Source organism: Homo sapiens, chromosome 6 (genome assembly GCF_000001405.40).
Source record: "Homo sapiens chromosome 6, GRCh38.p14 Primary Assembly".
Classification (NCBI taxonomy): domain Eukaryota; kingdom Metazoa; phylum Chordata; class Mammalia; order Primates; family Hominidae; genus Homo; species Homo sapiens.
Window position 1 is genome coordinate 9,519,349 of NC_000006.12, and position 17,858 is coordinate 9,537,206.

Below are 17,858 nucleotides of genomic sequence, written 5' to 3' on the forward strand. Positions count from 1 at the left end.
AGGACATAAATAAAATTAGCATCTATACCATTAGGTATCTTAAGGAAAATGCTGAACTGCAATTTTCTTTGTTTCTTGGATGAAACAAAAATCTATATATATATATACACACACACACACACACATATATACATATATACACACACATATACATATATATATACTGTGATTAGTATAATTAGTTGTGTGCACTGTCACACGAATGTGGAAATTTTCTTACAATTATTTAATTATCTACATTTCTGATGATATTCATTGATCTACCTGTATCGACTCTTACTTCAATCTATTCTCTTTTAAATATCATCAAGTATATGACATTCAGATTATGCTAACTTTACTAACTCTAAGTTCTTACAAAGATGATTAATTTCTTCTGCATGAAAATTTTAGCCTCTAAACATCGACTAAACCCATTTGGACATATATTTCCAATGATGACTAAATGCACTGATATATTTTATCTAAACAGAAATTCAAAATAACTTCTATATCCCATAGCCCTTACCATCAGTCTTAGTAAAAACAGATCAATAGAAAACAGTATAGCAGAACAGCAAACATAAATACTGAAACCTTATTTGTAGATCTTTGCTATAAATGTAACACCCACCACACACAGGGAGAGATACTGGAAATAGCTTTCTTCTGTAATAAGTACACTGCTCCTTGGGAGAAAGGTAAACTGCATTATGAGATTAAGATCAACACAATGAAGTTACTTTCTAAGGGTCTCATACACCCAAGTTTATGTTGAGGAGGAAAATGTCCTTTTGGTAATTGAACTAAAAATCTAATGGACATGATGGATGCTTGATTGTGTCCAAATGGCATGAAAGCATCCTAGGAATTCCATACAGAATTCAGTTAACTATTTTATGAAAGTGGGAGAAAAAATCGAAATAAAAATTGAATTTCAAAAAATTGAAATTGAAATGTGAAGTGAATTGATCAGCTACTGTTTTAGTCTGTTTTGCATTGCTATAAAGGAATCCCTGAGACTGAGTAATTTATAAAGAAAAGAGGTTTATTTGGCTGACAGTTCTGCAGACCATACAAGCATGGCACCAGCATCTGCTTGGCTTCTGATGAGGCTTAAGTAACTTACAATCATGGTGGAAGGCAAAGGGGGAGCCAGCATATCACATGACGAGAGAGGAAGCAAAAGGGAGATGACAGGCTGTTTAAAGAACCAGCTCTCCCGTGAACAAACAGAGCGAGAACTCACTTATTACTGCGGGGACAGCACCAAGCCATTCATGAGGGATCCTCCCCCATGAACCAAACACCTCCCACAAGGACTGCCTCCAACATTGGTCACATTTCAATGTGAGATTTGGAGGGGACAAATATCCAAACCATATCAGCTGTTTTGGAAACATGTAGCTCAGAACATTATGGTGATTGGATTTTAACATTTCGGCTCAAATATAAAACATGGGCTAATATGAAATCCAGGCATATCACCATATAAACAGAAGTCTCATCTTGATTTCAAAGATTTTTTTCCTGCATTAGTAGCCCATTATTGTTCTGTATGTGTCTCAACCGTTTGTCTTAATGTGTCAAATTTACAACGTTGCTAAGAATATGAGTCACATCCTTAAATACCACATATTCATGAAAAAATCCTCGGAAAGTGAGTCATTCAATGAACTATTGGGGGAAATTTTTAAACTTAATAAAGAATACCTTTTTAACAGGATAACTTGTTTCTCTTCTGACTGCCATGATTCTGTCTCACAGACTTCCACAGAAAATATCAAAGATTTTAGCTGAATAAATAAACAAAAGACCAGGCAGATAAACTGACTTCTCAGGCCCAAGGTAGTGACCTGTGTGACAATTTGGTCTTGGAGGCCTGATGTGAAAACCTCTTGCAGCCTCTGGGTAACGATGATTTGATTCCTATCTCCCCCATAGCCATTCTCAGCCTCTCACCTTGTGGGCTTTCCCTATGCACTGCACATAATCGGCAAATCAGTGGGGTTTTCCATTTCTGTCTCTTCTTCATAATTTGTTTTTCCCCTTTACTAATCTATTCAGTTCTCCAGCCCACTCACGTGATTTTGCATGATAAAGTTACAACAGGAAGACTATTAAAATAGCAGCAAATACTTTCTTTAAGCCAGGTGTATGTCATCTTTTGACACATATTGTCTCTCTTGATTATCACAACAACCATCCCAGGTAACTATTATTATTATATTATTAATCCCATTTTACATGTATAAATGTTACACCAAAGAAACATAACTTGCAGGATAATCAAAGAAGGATTTTATTTTGATCTTTCATGTGTATTATATGGGGCTTGTTTTTCCCCTATGCTTGGATGCAATTTTTGACAAGTCCTCTGGTTTTTCTGCTTACAGGCAAATAATGAAATCAGTTTCTGTTCAGTGATTAAAAAGATCATCTCCACATAGTGGTACCATCCTCAAATTTAATAAGTAAGGGCTTCTTGCCATTGTCCAGCCCAGGCCTGTGTAGTAAGAGGGCTGGTTACTCTCCCCTCCCCTGCCTTATACATTACCTCCTCTTCTCCATCCCACCGAGCTTGGTTTCGGACCCTCCAGAATGGGAGAGAGGGAGAAGTTTGGGCAGAAGGGAGAAGAGCAAAACGTCTTATTAGATTAATATTGTTGGGAAATTGCATTGGTTCTTGAACTTGGCAGATATTTTATGTGACTCTTTTGTGGGTCATTTCTAGTGCCTCCTCTTACATTGTTAAGGATTCGTCTTCAGCAATTACTTTAATTTATGCAAATACAACTCTTCCTGTAGGTCACATGGTCACAGTGTCCCTAACGGTCTAGATCAGTGGCCTTGCCTGTGTACACAGCCCTGTAGAATCTCAGGCCTACCGTCATCATAATATTTATTACACAACATTTGAATTTACACAACATTTGAACATTTGAAAATGTTCTTTGTTCATTAGAAAGCTCTCTCCAACACAATCTAAGATAATCTCAGCCCAGCTCTTTCATGCATGCAGCCACATCTGGGACAAGGAGTAGAATTCACAGGACCCAAGGCACAATCCAAAAATTATCTTCAGCCTTTTTTTTTTTTTCAGTGTCAGAGCTAGATGGTCAGAAAAGTGCTGCAAAACTGGTTTTCCCACGTTTTTTGCTTTGGTATGTGCCATTTATTGACTGGAAACACCACTAAAATTGTTCTTCGTTAACATTCTATTATTGTTGAAAACATCATGCAAAAGGTAATAAAGATTAAGTAGTTTTAAAAGTGACAATACATTTTCTAGCTTTTGTCTGATCAAAGAGAACTGTCGTTTTGAAAGAGGATTCACTGCTGCAAAATTATCAGTGTTTTGCCACTATCGTTTTTCTAGTTCAAGACAAAACAAAAACCTTCTAACAGGTTATATCTTTAAAGCATTGGAAAGATGACATTTCATATCAGTAACAAACTGGACTAAACAGTAGTCAGTACTGGCATTCATGAAAGAAAAAGACATAGCCTATTGGAGGTAAAGCTGCACTATCATTCACAATGGATAAGAGTCCCCAACAGCTCGGTCAACTATAATCCCAAATATAATTTTTTCTTGCAAATACTTTTATAAACACTTGGAACACATTAGTACATTTCTTAGAACACAACTGAAAAAAAAAGACAAAACTCTGATTGGTTTCTAACATCCTGGAAAAATATAAGAATTGCTTTGTTAATGTTGAATTTGTGTCACAAGAGAGGTTCAATATTCTGAGCCTGGGCAAATGATCTACACATGTGAGTGTATGTGAGTGTGTGTGTGTGTTGTGTTGGGTGTGCATATCTACTTGTGATATGAAAACTGGCAACATACCCACCAGCAATTTGTGTCAATCTAAAAATGAAGAACAGAATAAAAGTGTAGACAAGAGAAACATGACTATCTAGAAATCAGGTGGGCAGATCAAGCTTCAAATGCCTTCCTTGCTTCAAACATATGCACGTGGCAGATAAAAAGTAAAAAACGAGAAAAACTAAGAGGACATAGCCAGAATCAAAAATACAGTAAACATCTCTGTTGCCAGAAAGAGAGCAGAAACATAAAATGGTGAGGGGCAAGAAATGAAAAGTTGAATGCAGGTCGTGGCGACTGAGTTTGTCTGAAGGAAAATGGAGATTAAACTTCAAATAGAATTGAAAAGAAGAAGAAAAAAGCCTCCTCACAATTTGAAACCTGAAAGTAAGACAAAAAGTCATCACTAATCTCTGTCTGCAGCCATGACTCTTGGAACATAACACATCAAGAAACCAAGTGCAGATTTTCAACCAGGAGCTAAGTCAGCTGCCCTCTGAGCTCATTCCTGAGATATGTGATATCCCCAGCCTGGCTTTGAGTCAGGAAAGCTGCTTCTATGACTTGACCTGATTCTGGATTAGGCTATACATATAAACAGAAAATCATTGGACAGGGAGGGCTTAGCACAGAGATGGGGAGTAAAGGCTTTGGGATGGTTCCACTCATTGCCAGCATATAAACCAAATTTCTAAGGCATGTGAATAAGAAAGTGAATAAAGTAAGTTAAAACCACTTGGAATAAAAATGTGTTATAGGTTAAATGAATTGTATAGATGAGTCTGACCAGGCTTTTGAGATATGTATTAAACGTTCAAAAGGAAAACATGAATTCTACTTATTTTTTAAAACTTGTAAAACAAAACCAGTCACAAGTAAATCAAGAACAGGTAAAGATAATAATAATCTGGCATATTTTAGGCCAGATAATTTTCTAAATGTTTTGCATGAATTAGTATGTTACTACAACTGAACGAGGTAGATACTATTATTATCTTCATTTAAAAATGAAAACAACTCACTTTGGGAGGCTGAGGTGGGCGGATCACGAGGTCAGGAGATCGAGACCATCCTGGCTAACACGGTGAAACCCTGTCTCTACTAAAAATACAAAAAATTAGCCAGGCGTGGTGGTGGGCGCCTGTAGTCCCAGCTACTCGGGAGGCTGAGGCAGGAGAATGGCCTGAACCATGGAGAGGGAGCTTGCAGTGAGCCAAGATCGTGTCACTGCACTCCAGCCTGGGCAACAGAGCGAGATTCCATCTCAAAAAAAAAAAGAAAAGAAAAAAGAAAGAAAACAACTGAGGTACAGCGATGAAGTTACTTATCCAAGGTCATACACCTAGAATGTGGAAGAGTAGTCTGGCTCTAGCATTCATAGAATATTATATTCAAACAAGAAAAAAGGCAGGACAGACCATAGTTTATAGACGGCAGAAGTGAGAATTATTGAATTGCAAAAGATTCCAACAAGAACTCAGGACAGAGCTAAATAGACAAAATTTTAAAAAGCAGGAGAAGAGAAAGTAGATCAGTTGAGAGCTTCCAACCTTTGTCTTATAAGAGAACTAGAAGACAGGCCGGGTGGTGTGGCTCACGCCTGTAATCCCAGCACTTTGGGAGGCGGAGGCGGGCGGATAACGAGGTCAGGAGATTGAGACCATCCTGGCTAACACGGTGAAACCCCGTCTCTACTAAAAAAAAAGAAAAAAGAAAAAAATTAGCCTGGAGTAGTGGCAGGTGCCTGTAGTCCCAGCTACTCGGGAGGCTGAGGCAGGAGAATGGCGTGAACCTGGGAGGAGGAGCTTGCAGTGAACAGAGATCGCGCCACTGCAGTCCAGCCTGGGCGACACAGCAAGACTCCGTCTCAAAAAAAAAAAAAAAAAAAAAAAAAACAACTAGAAGAGAGTGCGCGGAATGGTAACGAGGTAATACTTCTAAAAGGAACTGCTGGGTTTTTTTTTTTTTTTTCAGTATTTAAGAAATATATAAGGTCTTCAGAACACAAGGCTACTGTAAGTACCCAACAGAAAATAAATAGCTAAATCTGTATATAGACATGCTGTAGCAAAACTGCAGAACATAAGCAAAAGAAAAACATATTAATATTCTAAAGCAATCAGGGAGAAATTTTACCTACATTAAGAGGACAATGAGAATCAACATCACTCTTGTCAAGCAACAAGAGAAGCTATGCATTAAGCAGTAATACCTTTAAAATTTACAGAAAAAAAAAACAAATAAGCTTTTAACTTTGAAAACTATTTTAAAATCAGACAGATTGCAATTACCAGATGGAAAAAATTGACACTTTAAGATGTTTGCCTAGAGGTCAGATGTGCCAGGCCGGGCCTGAGACGTAAGAACTAGTTTCAGTGGGATTCTACCCAAATTGTACATGGTAGATACCCTGGGATCATTCTTACAATTCACTGTCCTTGAAAGCCCAGAAGTCTACACTGTCACCTGGAATTCACCTGGAGATCTTTCATACAACTCCTTACCCAGTTCTTTAAGTAGTCTTTTACATGTTTTGTCTTCTGATTTGAGTAGATGGAAATCTAACCTCATCTAGGTTGCAGCTAATTTTCTTCATCACTTGAAAGTTTCAGCTTATATTTTTATACACTGATTTCAGAGTTTACGCTCATTTTCTTGTTTTTCTTTCTTCTTTTTAATTGTTTTGTTTCTGTTTCTTAACTTTTCAATGTTGGTTAATTTCTTTATATGTAGGGTCATTTGGGTTATAGTAAGAAATGTTTTTCCTGCAAGGTTGCTAGCTATCCCTTGATAATTTTTTTCACCATTGTGTGATGGAGAAATGTAAGCTCATAATTATTTTCTTGTGGTATGAACACTTATGAGATCTACCCTCTTAAAACATTTGTAAATATGCGATACTTTATCATTGACTCTAGGTACAATGTTGTACAGCAGATCTCTAGAGCTTAGTCATCTTGCTTAACTCAAACTTTAGCTCCATTGATTATTCATTCCCCATCCCCCACATCGTGTCCCAGCCCCTGGCTACCACCATTCAATTTCTTTGATTCTATAAAGTTGACTGTTTTAGATATCCCATATAAGTGGAACCGTTCAGTATTTGTCGTTCTGTGACTGGCTTATTTCAGTTAGCACAGTGTCCTCAAGATTCATCTGTGTGTAGCCTGAGACAGAATTTCCTTCCCTTTTGAGGCTTAATATTATTCCATTGTATGTATACACATTTCCTTTACGCATTCATCTTTTGATGGACATTTAGGCTGTTTCCATGTCTCAGCTATTGTGAATCATGCTGCAATGAATATGAAGAGATTAATATCTATTTGGGATCCTGATTTCTAGCTGTCTGATTTTAAAATGTGTTCTTTTGAACTTAGCTAAATTAATTTACAACTCTGGGAACCTTTAGAATTAAGTACAGAAGTCACAGAGCATGAAAACTCTTATTAATATTTTTATATTCACTTTAAGATAATTTGTGTTTGTTGTTTAAAATGTTTATCATGTCTTTAAAATGTGGCATATGAAGTCTTGTGACTTTAAGGTCTTAGGTGTGGGAAAATTTTGCAAGTTTATAAACACTATTGCAATGCTTTAGCTAATGTGTTTTCTATGTTTATATGTTTAATTTATTCGCTTTTTAAGAGTTACTAAAGTGTTCGGAAAGTTTTGTTGGGTTAAAAATCTTCACTTTTGGACATTTGAAGGCTACAATGTTGAGTATTTTAAACTTATGCATAAAAATGTGATCTTTAAGGCAATTTAAAAATCTGCTTATTAATGAAGCAAATTGTTCAGAGAAATTTAATCTCTTCAAATTGAATTAATCAAATTTTAATCCAAAAACAAGTAAAAGAAAATGTTACTTTTATAAGAAAAATACTTAACTTTAAAATAAAATGGCAAAGTATGTAAGTTAAACTTAAAGGTTTAAATAAACCAGGTTTTGTATAAATGTATAACTTCAATAAATCAAATGTTAGTTTTAGAAAAGAAAGCTATTCAAGATGAACTATCATATAAACATAAGAGCAGCTTTCTTTCTCTTCTTCTTTCTTATCCTTCTTGAAAAAGTCAGTCCTAAAGACATTAGATGGGGCCAAACAACACAGGTATCCATACCACGTGTGGGGTAAGAGACAGAAAAGGAAGTGGGTGCATGGGTATCAGAATCTGAGCAGAATAAGGAAAGTGTGGACATGAGGGTTAGGAGCAGCCCAGGATAAGGTACCAGTATCCTAGCAGGGTGAGCAGACTCAACTGACATGAGATGTCAGAGGCCGAGCAGAGTAAGGAGGTGCCCACGTGGAGAAGTAAGTGGGCTTGGGGCGTCTGTGCCTAGCAAGTTGAGGATGGCATCTGCGTCGGGAGGGGGCAGTGATACCTGTAAGAAATTGATTACATTGGGGGGGATTAAACAAGAAAGTAAATTTATTGATTCTACTGGAAGCCATGTTTCTCACTATTAAAGAGAGTTCTAAATATGGAAAAAGAAGGCAAAGATGAACCTCATGGTTAGGCTTGGAATGGGACCTATACTCATGGCTTTCTAGGTAAACTGGTAAGTAAAGGTATTTTTCAGTTCTCTATGTCATGGTTTGATCAGAGAAACAGAAGTACTAAGAGTCATATGGAATAAAGAATTTATTATAGAGATGATGCAATCATGGGTTCTGGTTATGCAATTTACATATGGCTTCTACTTCTGCCTCTGTTGCTGGGCCAGGAGTCAGCAGCACAGGCAGTCAGGAAAGAAACATGATTGTGAAGTGGGGACAGCAAGGGAAAATTGGAACCCCGGGGTTTGAACCTATGCTGGTGTCCCACTGCTTGCAACGCTGATGAGGAGGTGATTTGTAGGAGAAACTGATGCCCATTGTCACAAAACTAAACATGTACCTGGCACAGTTCCAACAGGAGCTGGAGAAGCTGTGCATTCTCCTGCTGGCTCATGTCAACCAGATGAGAAAGCAAATTTGTGAGAATGTTCACAAGCTACAACAGCACCTGACAGGACACAGACCTTTCAATCATAAACGTGGCTGCTACTTCCCGTTTGCCCTCCAGATCTCACCCAGCTTTCTCTTGTGGCCAATTCTAGCTCAGAATCATACTGGCAAAGGAATCTGGGAATCAAAGTTCAAGCTTAGCTAAGGTGAAACAGTACAAAGCTGCCACAATCATAAAATTTTGAAAAGTCACATTACATGAAGAAATATGACAGATACTACTTTAGCCAAGTGAGCACTGTGATCATCTGTAATGGGATAAATTTAGATTATGTGATGCCTGATAAGATGAAATGAGAATACAGCATCTCTCCCATAATATTTTTGTCAAAGCTTTGTAACCTGAATCTACTCTAGGGTACATCAGACAAACCCAAATTAAGTGACACTCTTCAAAATACCTGATCTATAAGATTAAAAAGTGTGAAAAATATAGAAGTCCAGGAAAGCACCCGGAACTATTCCAAATTGAAGGAGGCTTAAAAGTGTGACAATTGAATGCTATTCATGATTCTGAACTGATTTTTTTCCTATAAGGAACGTTTTTCTGATAATTAGGAAAACTGGAATGGAACGCTGAGGTTTAATGGTAATATATCAGTTTATTTTCTGATTTTGATGATTTACCGTGGTCATGTAGGAAAATGTCTGTTTATAAAAATAAACATTAAAGTGTTGAAGCATCGGGTTGGCTATCTGCTGTCAAATTGTCCAGGAAAACAATCCTTGGCACTATACTTTTGCAACTTTTTAGTAAACTCAGGAGTATTTCTAAGTTAAATTAATAAATGAAAGAAAAAAAAGCAGAGTAGTAATAAACATAGGAAACATTTATTGCATGTTTGCCATATGCCAAACACTGTCCTAAACCCATTTTATGTATTATCTAAATTTCATTTTCCCTTATGACTTAGAAATGATCATTATTACATGCTTACACTAAGATGCAGAATAAGTAACATCCCAGTATCATATAGCTAGTAATTATGGAGACAGATCTGAGCTCAATTTGTCATCACAGACTACTGATAGTTTCCATATAAAATGACTAAGAGGAATTACCACAATCATATTCTTAAAAAAGAATGTGATCGGGATAAAAGGGAATATTTAAGTGTGGGATAAAAGAAACACTGAATACAGAAATGAATAGAATAAATTGATAAATCTACAGAAAATCAATTAAAAATGTTTAAAATAGCAATATTATTTTTGATTTGGAGACTTTTCAACATATGATTAAAGAGTATCAAGGTACTTCTGATTTTAATAACAAAATTAAAAAGCTGAAAACCCAAAGGTTTTATAAAAAATTGATAGTTAAGCATGAATATTAAAATAAGCGAACCCTTAAAATCAAGGAAATACAATCTACAGCTTTGGAAATGGCAAATGAAAAAATAATTAAAAGTTGTTAATTTTAAAAAGGGAAGAGAACGAGCAATGAGAAAAGAAAATGTTAGTGAGCAATTGAATAAATAATGGTAAAAATAAGTCCAGATATGTTTATCATACAATAAAAGTAAATGTGTTAAAGTAATGTATCAAATGACAAAGGCTTGTAATAAATTTTAAATCCTAGCTCACTATGCCTCTTAGGAAAAATATACCCAAAATAAACCTACACAAAGTCTGAAAATAAAAGAATAAAAAGAGAAAAAACAGATAAATTCCAAACAAAATTTCCATATGATATGGAAAAATTATAACAGGACAAAGGAATTTATAGAAAATGAATTGATTGTAATAGAATATAGATAATAATTATAAATAAAGAACTAATCTATCTAAAAATTATAATGGTTATCATCTAGGGATAGTCATAGTCTAGTAACATAAAAGCATAGCTTCAAAATATAAAGCAAAAGTGACAAAATAACTCTCAATCATAGTGAGAAATTTTAACACACATTTCTCAGAAATTACAGTTCAAATACATTAAAAAATTGATAAAAAACAAATTTGAGCAATGTAATCAGTACATTTAATCATATGATATATATAAAACATATAAATATTTATCTTTTTCTAGTACACATAAACCATTTATGAAATTAATCATGTATTAGGACACAGTGGAGTCTCAATACATTTCAAGTAACTATCATACAATATATGATTAATTTTAAACACAAAAGTTTAAAAATAATTTAAATGTCGATGACATTTGAAAACTTTCAAAAGGACTTCTAATCAACTTATGGGTTAATCTCAAGGAAAACAATATATTTTGAACTGAACAAGAGTGAAGGAGAATTATAGCCAAGCTTAGCAATACAGAGAAAGTGCAGTTTAGGGTTTATTGTATACCTTGAACATCTTTATATTTTTTTTAAAGAGACAGACTGAAAATGGGGGAGTGACATATTCAGAAAGCTATGAAATAATGAAAGATGGACCTAAAGCAAGTAGAGAGAATAAAAATTTTTAAGTGCTAATAAAAAATGAAAAACATAAGATCCATAGAAGCAGTTGCCTATATTTTTGAAAAAGAAGTAATAAAGCATACAAATTTCAAGTATGATTAATAAACAAAACAAAAAGGAAAAGTCACAACACAAAAGGCAATTAGTAAGTTAGATTTAGTAGATAGTTTTTAAAAGTATGCCAATAAATATAATAAATTTGATTCCAAATTAGATAAGGAAAAAGAAAAATATATAGGCCATCCCCTTGTGTGAAGATACATGCGGAAATCCTAAATAAATTATTAGGAAATCAAAGTCTTCAGTGGTGGAAAATAGAAATACTGCAACTGAATAAAGTTTATTACAATAGACAAAATGAGGAGAGTGGGAGGAAGGTGAGGTTCGAAAATCTACCTATTGGGTACTACGCTCACTACCTGGGTAACAAAATCATTTGTACACCGAACTTCAGTGACACAAAATTTACCCATGTAACTAAACTGCATTTGTACTCTCGAGTGTAAAATAGAAGTTGAAAAGAAAAAAAAGAAGTTATAATTCCCAAATTAATCTCTAAATTAAACTGAAGTCAATAAAATACCAAAAAGCTGCTGTTTAAAATAAAATGGTGACAGAAGATGAAAATGGCCAAAAAAAAAAAAAAAAAAAAAAAAAAGACACCACTGGAGAATGGCAAGATGGGAGAAATTTGTGAAGACAAGTAAGATATACTTGCAAGTACTATATTATTAGCTCAATTACTAAACAAGGATAGAACAGAAACTATGAAAACAGACACCTGTACATATGTATTTACATATATACATATATGTTTATAGTATATATATGTGTGTGTATATATATTCTATATACATATATATGCATGCATGTATATACACAGTACATACATATATACTATATTTATACATATACATATATAGTATACTGTACACTGCACTTATATACTAAGGTGTACATATATATATATTTATGTGTGTCTCTGCTCTGTTCCAGTGGTTTGTGTATATATGTGTATGTGTGTGTGTATTTATATATAGATGTCTATCTCCCATGACAGAAGTAAAATTATAAATTAATATGGAGATAATGGCTGATGCATTTAATAGTAATGCAAATACTTTTTAATCTGTAGGAAAAAAAATTAGATTTCGAATTCATATCCTGCACAAAAATGTGTGGATTTATAGCTTAAGTACAAAGACAAAGCTTTACATTCCTAGAAGGAAATATAGAAGAATATCTTAATAAATTAAGGGTTAAGGAATAATTTCTTAGGGACCCTAAAATACAGGCCATGAAGAAGAAACCTAGAAAAGTTATTAAATTAAAATTAAGATTTTAAAAATATATAAAATATATACATATATGTTCCATATATGTATTCAAACATCTATACATATAGATAGGGTAAAAATATTAACAAAAAATCTAAGTAAAATGTGCAGATGTGTTCTTTGTACTATTTTTATTCTTAAAACATTTCTGTATGTTTGAGATCATTGTCAAGTAAAAGTATTTTAAAAGACAATATAAGGAGACTAAAAATAGTAGCTACAGACTAAAGAACAAAAACAATCTAGGGCACAAAGAAAAGCTTATCTAGAATATATAAGGAAATATAATAAATCACTAAGAGAAAGAATCCAACATAAAAATGAGCAAAGCATGTGAACAGGCAATTCATAGGACAGAAACACTAAATGATCTTAAACATATGAAAACATGATCAATTCCACTAATCAAAAAGGAGTTGCAAATTAAAGTGAGATACCTTGTGTTTTTATCCAAGTGATAAAAGTTAAATATTTTGAAAAAAGAAAGCTAAGAGTGTTGAAAAAATGGAAGTCTCATGTGCTTCTGGTGGAAGAATAAATTGGTACAACCACATTGGGGAACAATTTGTAGTACGTGTATGTAGGAGTCAAGTCATTATTGACAGCAGAATGTCCCAGACATTGTTGAAAGGGGGAAATACTTCCTTTGAAAATGAAATGCTGCCTATCTGGGTTGACCTGCTGGGGCTAGTTTCAGAGACTGGCTGTTTTCTGCACCCTTTCTTACAAAATAGTCCTAGCAGTACAGATGCTCTCAACAACTGCCTCAGTACTGAAGCTACACATCAGCTAGATCTACATCAGATAATGAGATGGAAGCCAATGACTCAGCAAGCCAGTTGGTTGTTTCCAAATATACACACCTTTGTTTTCCAGAGTAAAGTTTTACACAAAACGATTTCAACACACATGGTGGCAGAATATCAAAACAACTCCGACAGTGACATTTGGCTAAAGTGATGAGAGGTGGGATTTTAATGTGCAAGCTTGATTAAAATAATAAGTTTCATCATTGCTACTTTGTTTTGATAATTTAAGTGCAAGTGAAAAACAGCAGAAGGTATTGTTTCTTTGGAAGGAGCTCTCATGACTCAATGCTTTAAATGCTCTCTGACTCCTTGAAGTTTTCCCTTTGTGACAATTTATCACTCTGTAACAGGCAAAGCATTTTTTGAGTTTTTGCAACAGCCCTCAGACAGAAACTTACCCCTATTCCTGTTAAAAAATGTTTGCTGTTGAATATTGTAATTCTCACGTATATCTTTTTCATGTCCACTAATGCCTGAGTTTGCTTTTAGGTATGCTTCTCCAGGGATAATTTTATTAAAATGAACTTATATGAAGTGTTATGTCATTATTTGCTACTCATTTGAGTCAATCATTCCTTTCAACCACAGATTTTATTGAGTGCCAACAAGGTGACTTGCTGTGACCCCAGTGCTGGATACAATAACAGCCAACATTTATTGAACATTTATTATGTGGCAGGCATTGTTCTGACAGTTTTATGTGAATTACCTCATTCATTCTTTCCAAGAACTCTATGAGGTAGACAGTATTATCCCATTTTACAGGTGAGGAAACAGTTGCAAAGGGAGGTTGAATTATTTGTTCCAGGTCACTCAGCTAGCAAGTAGTAGATCTGAGATTTAAACATGGACAAGCTGGCTTTAGAGAATATACTTCTAGCTAGTAAGTGATTTTGCCTCTTCTAAAAAGTAAATCTATTTTATGTCATCAATATCAAAAAACAAAAGTAGGCATGGTAGATTTTGCACCATAGTACATAATAATTTTAACAAGTGTGCCATTTTCATAGTTACAGTTTAGCAAAATTATTGAACCCATTGCTTCCCTTTAACCTTTTTTGAGTTCAATGTAGAAAAAAGATGGCATTGGAAATTAACGTTTAAAGGTCAGACTTGTGGGTCTTGACAATTACTAAGTTGTGGAGGTTTCAAAATGTGGAGGATGCGGAGTCAAGATATTCTAAGGAAAGAAACTGGCTGAGAGGTTTAGACAGCTGAGCAAATGCATCAGGGAAGCAGGCAGCCTCGAACCAGGCATAGTGAGGTTCTGGCATAGGGTCAAATGTTGAGTTTCAGTAACTCGTCACTTTTCTCAGTCCTTGCTTTCTACGTCCGTTCCTTTAGGATTCGGGTCTTGTTTCTGCTCCCAGTTCTTGCAGGGATTACTGTATGGTTGTTCAAGGGTCATTTACCTCATTTGTGTTACCTCATCTTATCCTCATAGTTTCAATGGTAAGAAGCAAAGATGATGTTCACTTTTCTGGAGTACACTGGCTTCAGAGGTATTATGAAACTTACCCAATATATCATCATTAAAAAAAGGCAGGACTTAGAGCACAGCCCTGTAACCTAGGACTCTGGACTATCTCTAGAAGGCCCATCTAATCATTCCATCTTTAAAGGAAAACATAAAACCTACCTTGGCACAGCTCCCTTCTTAACTCTGGACCTTGGACTGTCCTTCAGTGCTCAGATCTCATCTTCCCATGTTACTCTCAAGATTGAAATTAAATTGCCACACCCAATAACGCAACCCTATACCCTCCCTAATTGTCTAGATTAGAGGGGTCTCCTGTGTACACAGCCCCGTAGAATCCCATGCCTACTGCCATCATAACATTTATCAGAAGGCATTTTAATTAATTGTTCTTTTTTTTTTTTGAGACTGAGTCTCGCTCTGTCGCCTAGGCTGGAGTGCAATGATGTGATCTTGGCTCACTGCAACCTCAGCCTCCTGGGTTCAAGCGATTCTCCTGCCTGAGCCTCCCTGAGTAGCTGAGATCACATGCCTAGCTACCTTTTTTTTTTTTTGTATTTTTAGTAGAGACGGGATTTCACCGTGTTGGTCAGGCTGCTCTCGAACTCCTGACCTCAAGTGAACTGCCTGACTTGGCCTCCCAAAGTGCTGGGATTACAGGCGGGAGCCACCACGCCCGGCCAATTGTTCTTTTTTATGTGTCTTCATCCTGAACTATAGTTCTTTAAGGGCACAGATGATGACAATAATGATTTATTTTTTAATTTTATTTTTATTCCCAGTGCATAGTAGAGTTCCTGGCATAGAGAAGTCGCTCACTAAATATTTAGGGGGAAAGTCTATAATTTTAAGTTTGGCAATGACTCTCACAATATTATTATATTTGACCTTCAGCATATGATGAACAGCTCTCATTCCTCTTGAACTTGTTACTGGCAGTGGTATACAAGGTGGGGCAGTTCACAGCAGAATACACGAGAATGTTTGGCAAGATTGGTCCAAGCATCTGAGTTCCTCTAGATTGTTGAGAGACGGAGAACTAAAACAAATGTTTCAGTACTAGTGGGTTAAAATGATCCTCTTCAAATTGTGTGTAAAGTGCAATGCTGAGTCATGTAGTGTTAGTATTTGCAATTTTTTATAAGAATTCAGAAAAAAATACTTCATGCAGAGAAGTGTTTAAATTATTACTATAATGTCTCTATACATTTTCACCAAAAGCTGACAGCTTTAACATTCAAATAAAGTAATTGAAATACATAATAAATAAAATGAAATGTAGAGAGAGCATATTGCTATTGCCTAATAAAGAGTGTTGCGAATAAAAAGCAATATTATTTTTTTAAAGAAGGAAATAATGTAGACCCAGAGTTTAACGCAGTAGTAGAGATATGAAAATAACAGTAACTCCTGTTATTTAGTAAATAGTTAACACACACTTTTAAACTTAAAACTATTTACAATGTTTACTTGGTAGTTATTTAAAGCAAAAATAACCTAAAATAACTAGTAGTTATTTAAAATATATGAGAATTTAATATTGAAATCGAGTATTTTTATAGAAAACTTTTTGTTAGATTTTGCATATGATTGAAGGAAGAACTCTCCTCCAAACTCCCCCACCAAAAGTTTTTTTTGTGTTTCGTTTTTTGTTTTTTTGAGACAGAGTTTCGCTCTTGTTGCCCAGACTGGAGTGCAGTGGGGCGATCTCGGCTCACTGCAACCTCTGACTCCTGGGCTCAAGCCATTCTCTTGCCTCTGCCTCAGGAGTAGCTGGGACTACAGGCACCCACCACCAAAGCCCGGCTAATTTTTGTGTTACTAGTAGAGACGGGGCTTCACCATGTTCACCAGGCTGGTCTCAAACTCCTGACCTCAGGTGATATGCCCACTTTGGTCTCCCAAATACTGGGATTACAGGTGTGAGCCACCACACCCAGCCCGAAAGTTTATTATTGATAGGTATCTTGAAGAAAATCAGGACTAAAGCATTTTGATTTGGACCATCATCTTTCTGTGCAGTGTGTGCATAGCATTCTTTGTTACATTGTCTATCTGCTTGGTGTGCATGTGTGCTCACACATGTGCGTGTGAGTGTATGTGTGCATGTGTATGTGTGTGGGAGTATGTTTTTATTTGACAGTGAGTGCACTAAGAATTTCCTGTGGTGCCAGCACACAGCAAAAGGTGGTTGGAAATGATGAAAGATTTATTTGAAAGCAAACTCAGTCATTCATTAAGCTGTGCCCATTATAAATTATTCAGCCTCTCTGGACCTCAATGTCCCCATTTATAAAACGGGAAAATATAACAATTAGTACTAGTACATACAGAGTACCTGTAATACATAGTATACCATATAGACATAATAAATTATAGCTGTGGATATTATCATTGTTATTCTTATTCAGTTATATTTGGCTAATTGCTCAGCAATACTTGGGCTATACTCTTAGCCCTGCCTTTATTAATCCTAAATATTAAAGATTAGACTTGACACACTTTAGTTCCGAGACCTGTGACCTTCCACACTGCCTATATCATAGTCACCAACAATAATTATTTACTGGAATGGTTAGATAGTGCTTTGTGTTTGCAAATTGCTTTCCAGCATTTAAAACCCTTTAGTCTTACAGCAACCCTATGGTGTTGATGTCACCTTGACCATTTTGCTTATTAGGAAGTTAAGGCCTGGGAAAGTTAGAAAAAAAAAAAAACCTGCTATCATTTGGTCAGGGCTGGAGCAGGGATCAAACACAGGTTTGGGACTATAAAGCTCTACCCTTCCCATCATTCTCTATTTTGGTCTCTAAGCCAACAACAGGCTGGATACTATGTTGTGCAGACAGAATGTATTATTCAAAGTAGAATATATTGGTGGGGAATGGAGTGCTATTACTAATTATCCTGAGACAAGAAAAGCCAGTCAGGCAAAGCAGGATATAGGATCACACTGGTCAGAATATAAAAACAAGGCGTATCT

General features: G+C 35.5%; 2 annotated features.

Moving 5' to 3' along the window:
* Nucleotides 1,004-1,083: an enhancer, noted in NCBI's record as "active region_23963". NCBI's record gives its function as "activates an Ori minimal core promoter by ATAC-STARR-seq in GM12878 lymphoblastoid cells {active_cell/tissue: GM12878}" and the evidence as "EXISTENCE:reporter gene assay evidence [ECO:0000049][PMID:35858748]".
* Nucleotides 1,490-1,539: an enhancer, noted in NCBI's record as "active region_23964". NCBI's record gives its function as "activates an Ori minimal core promoter by ATAC-STARR-seq in GM12878 lymphoblastoid cells {active_cell/tissue: GM12878}" and the evidence as "EXISTENCE:reporter gene assay evidence [ECO:0000049][PMID:35858748]".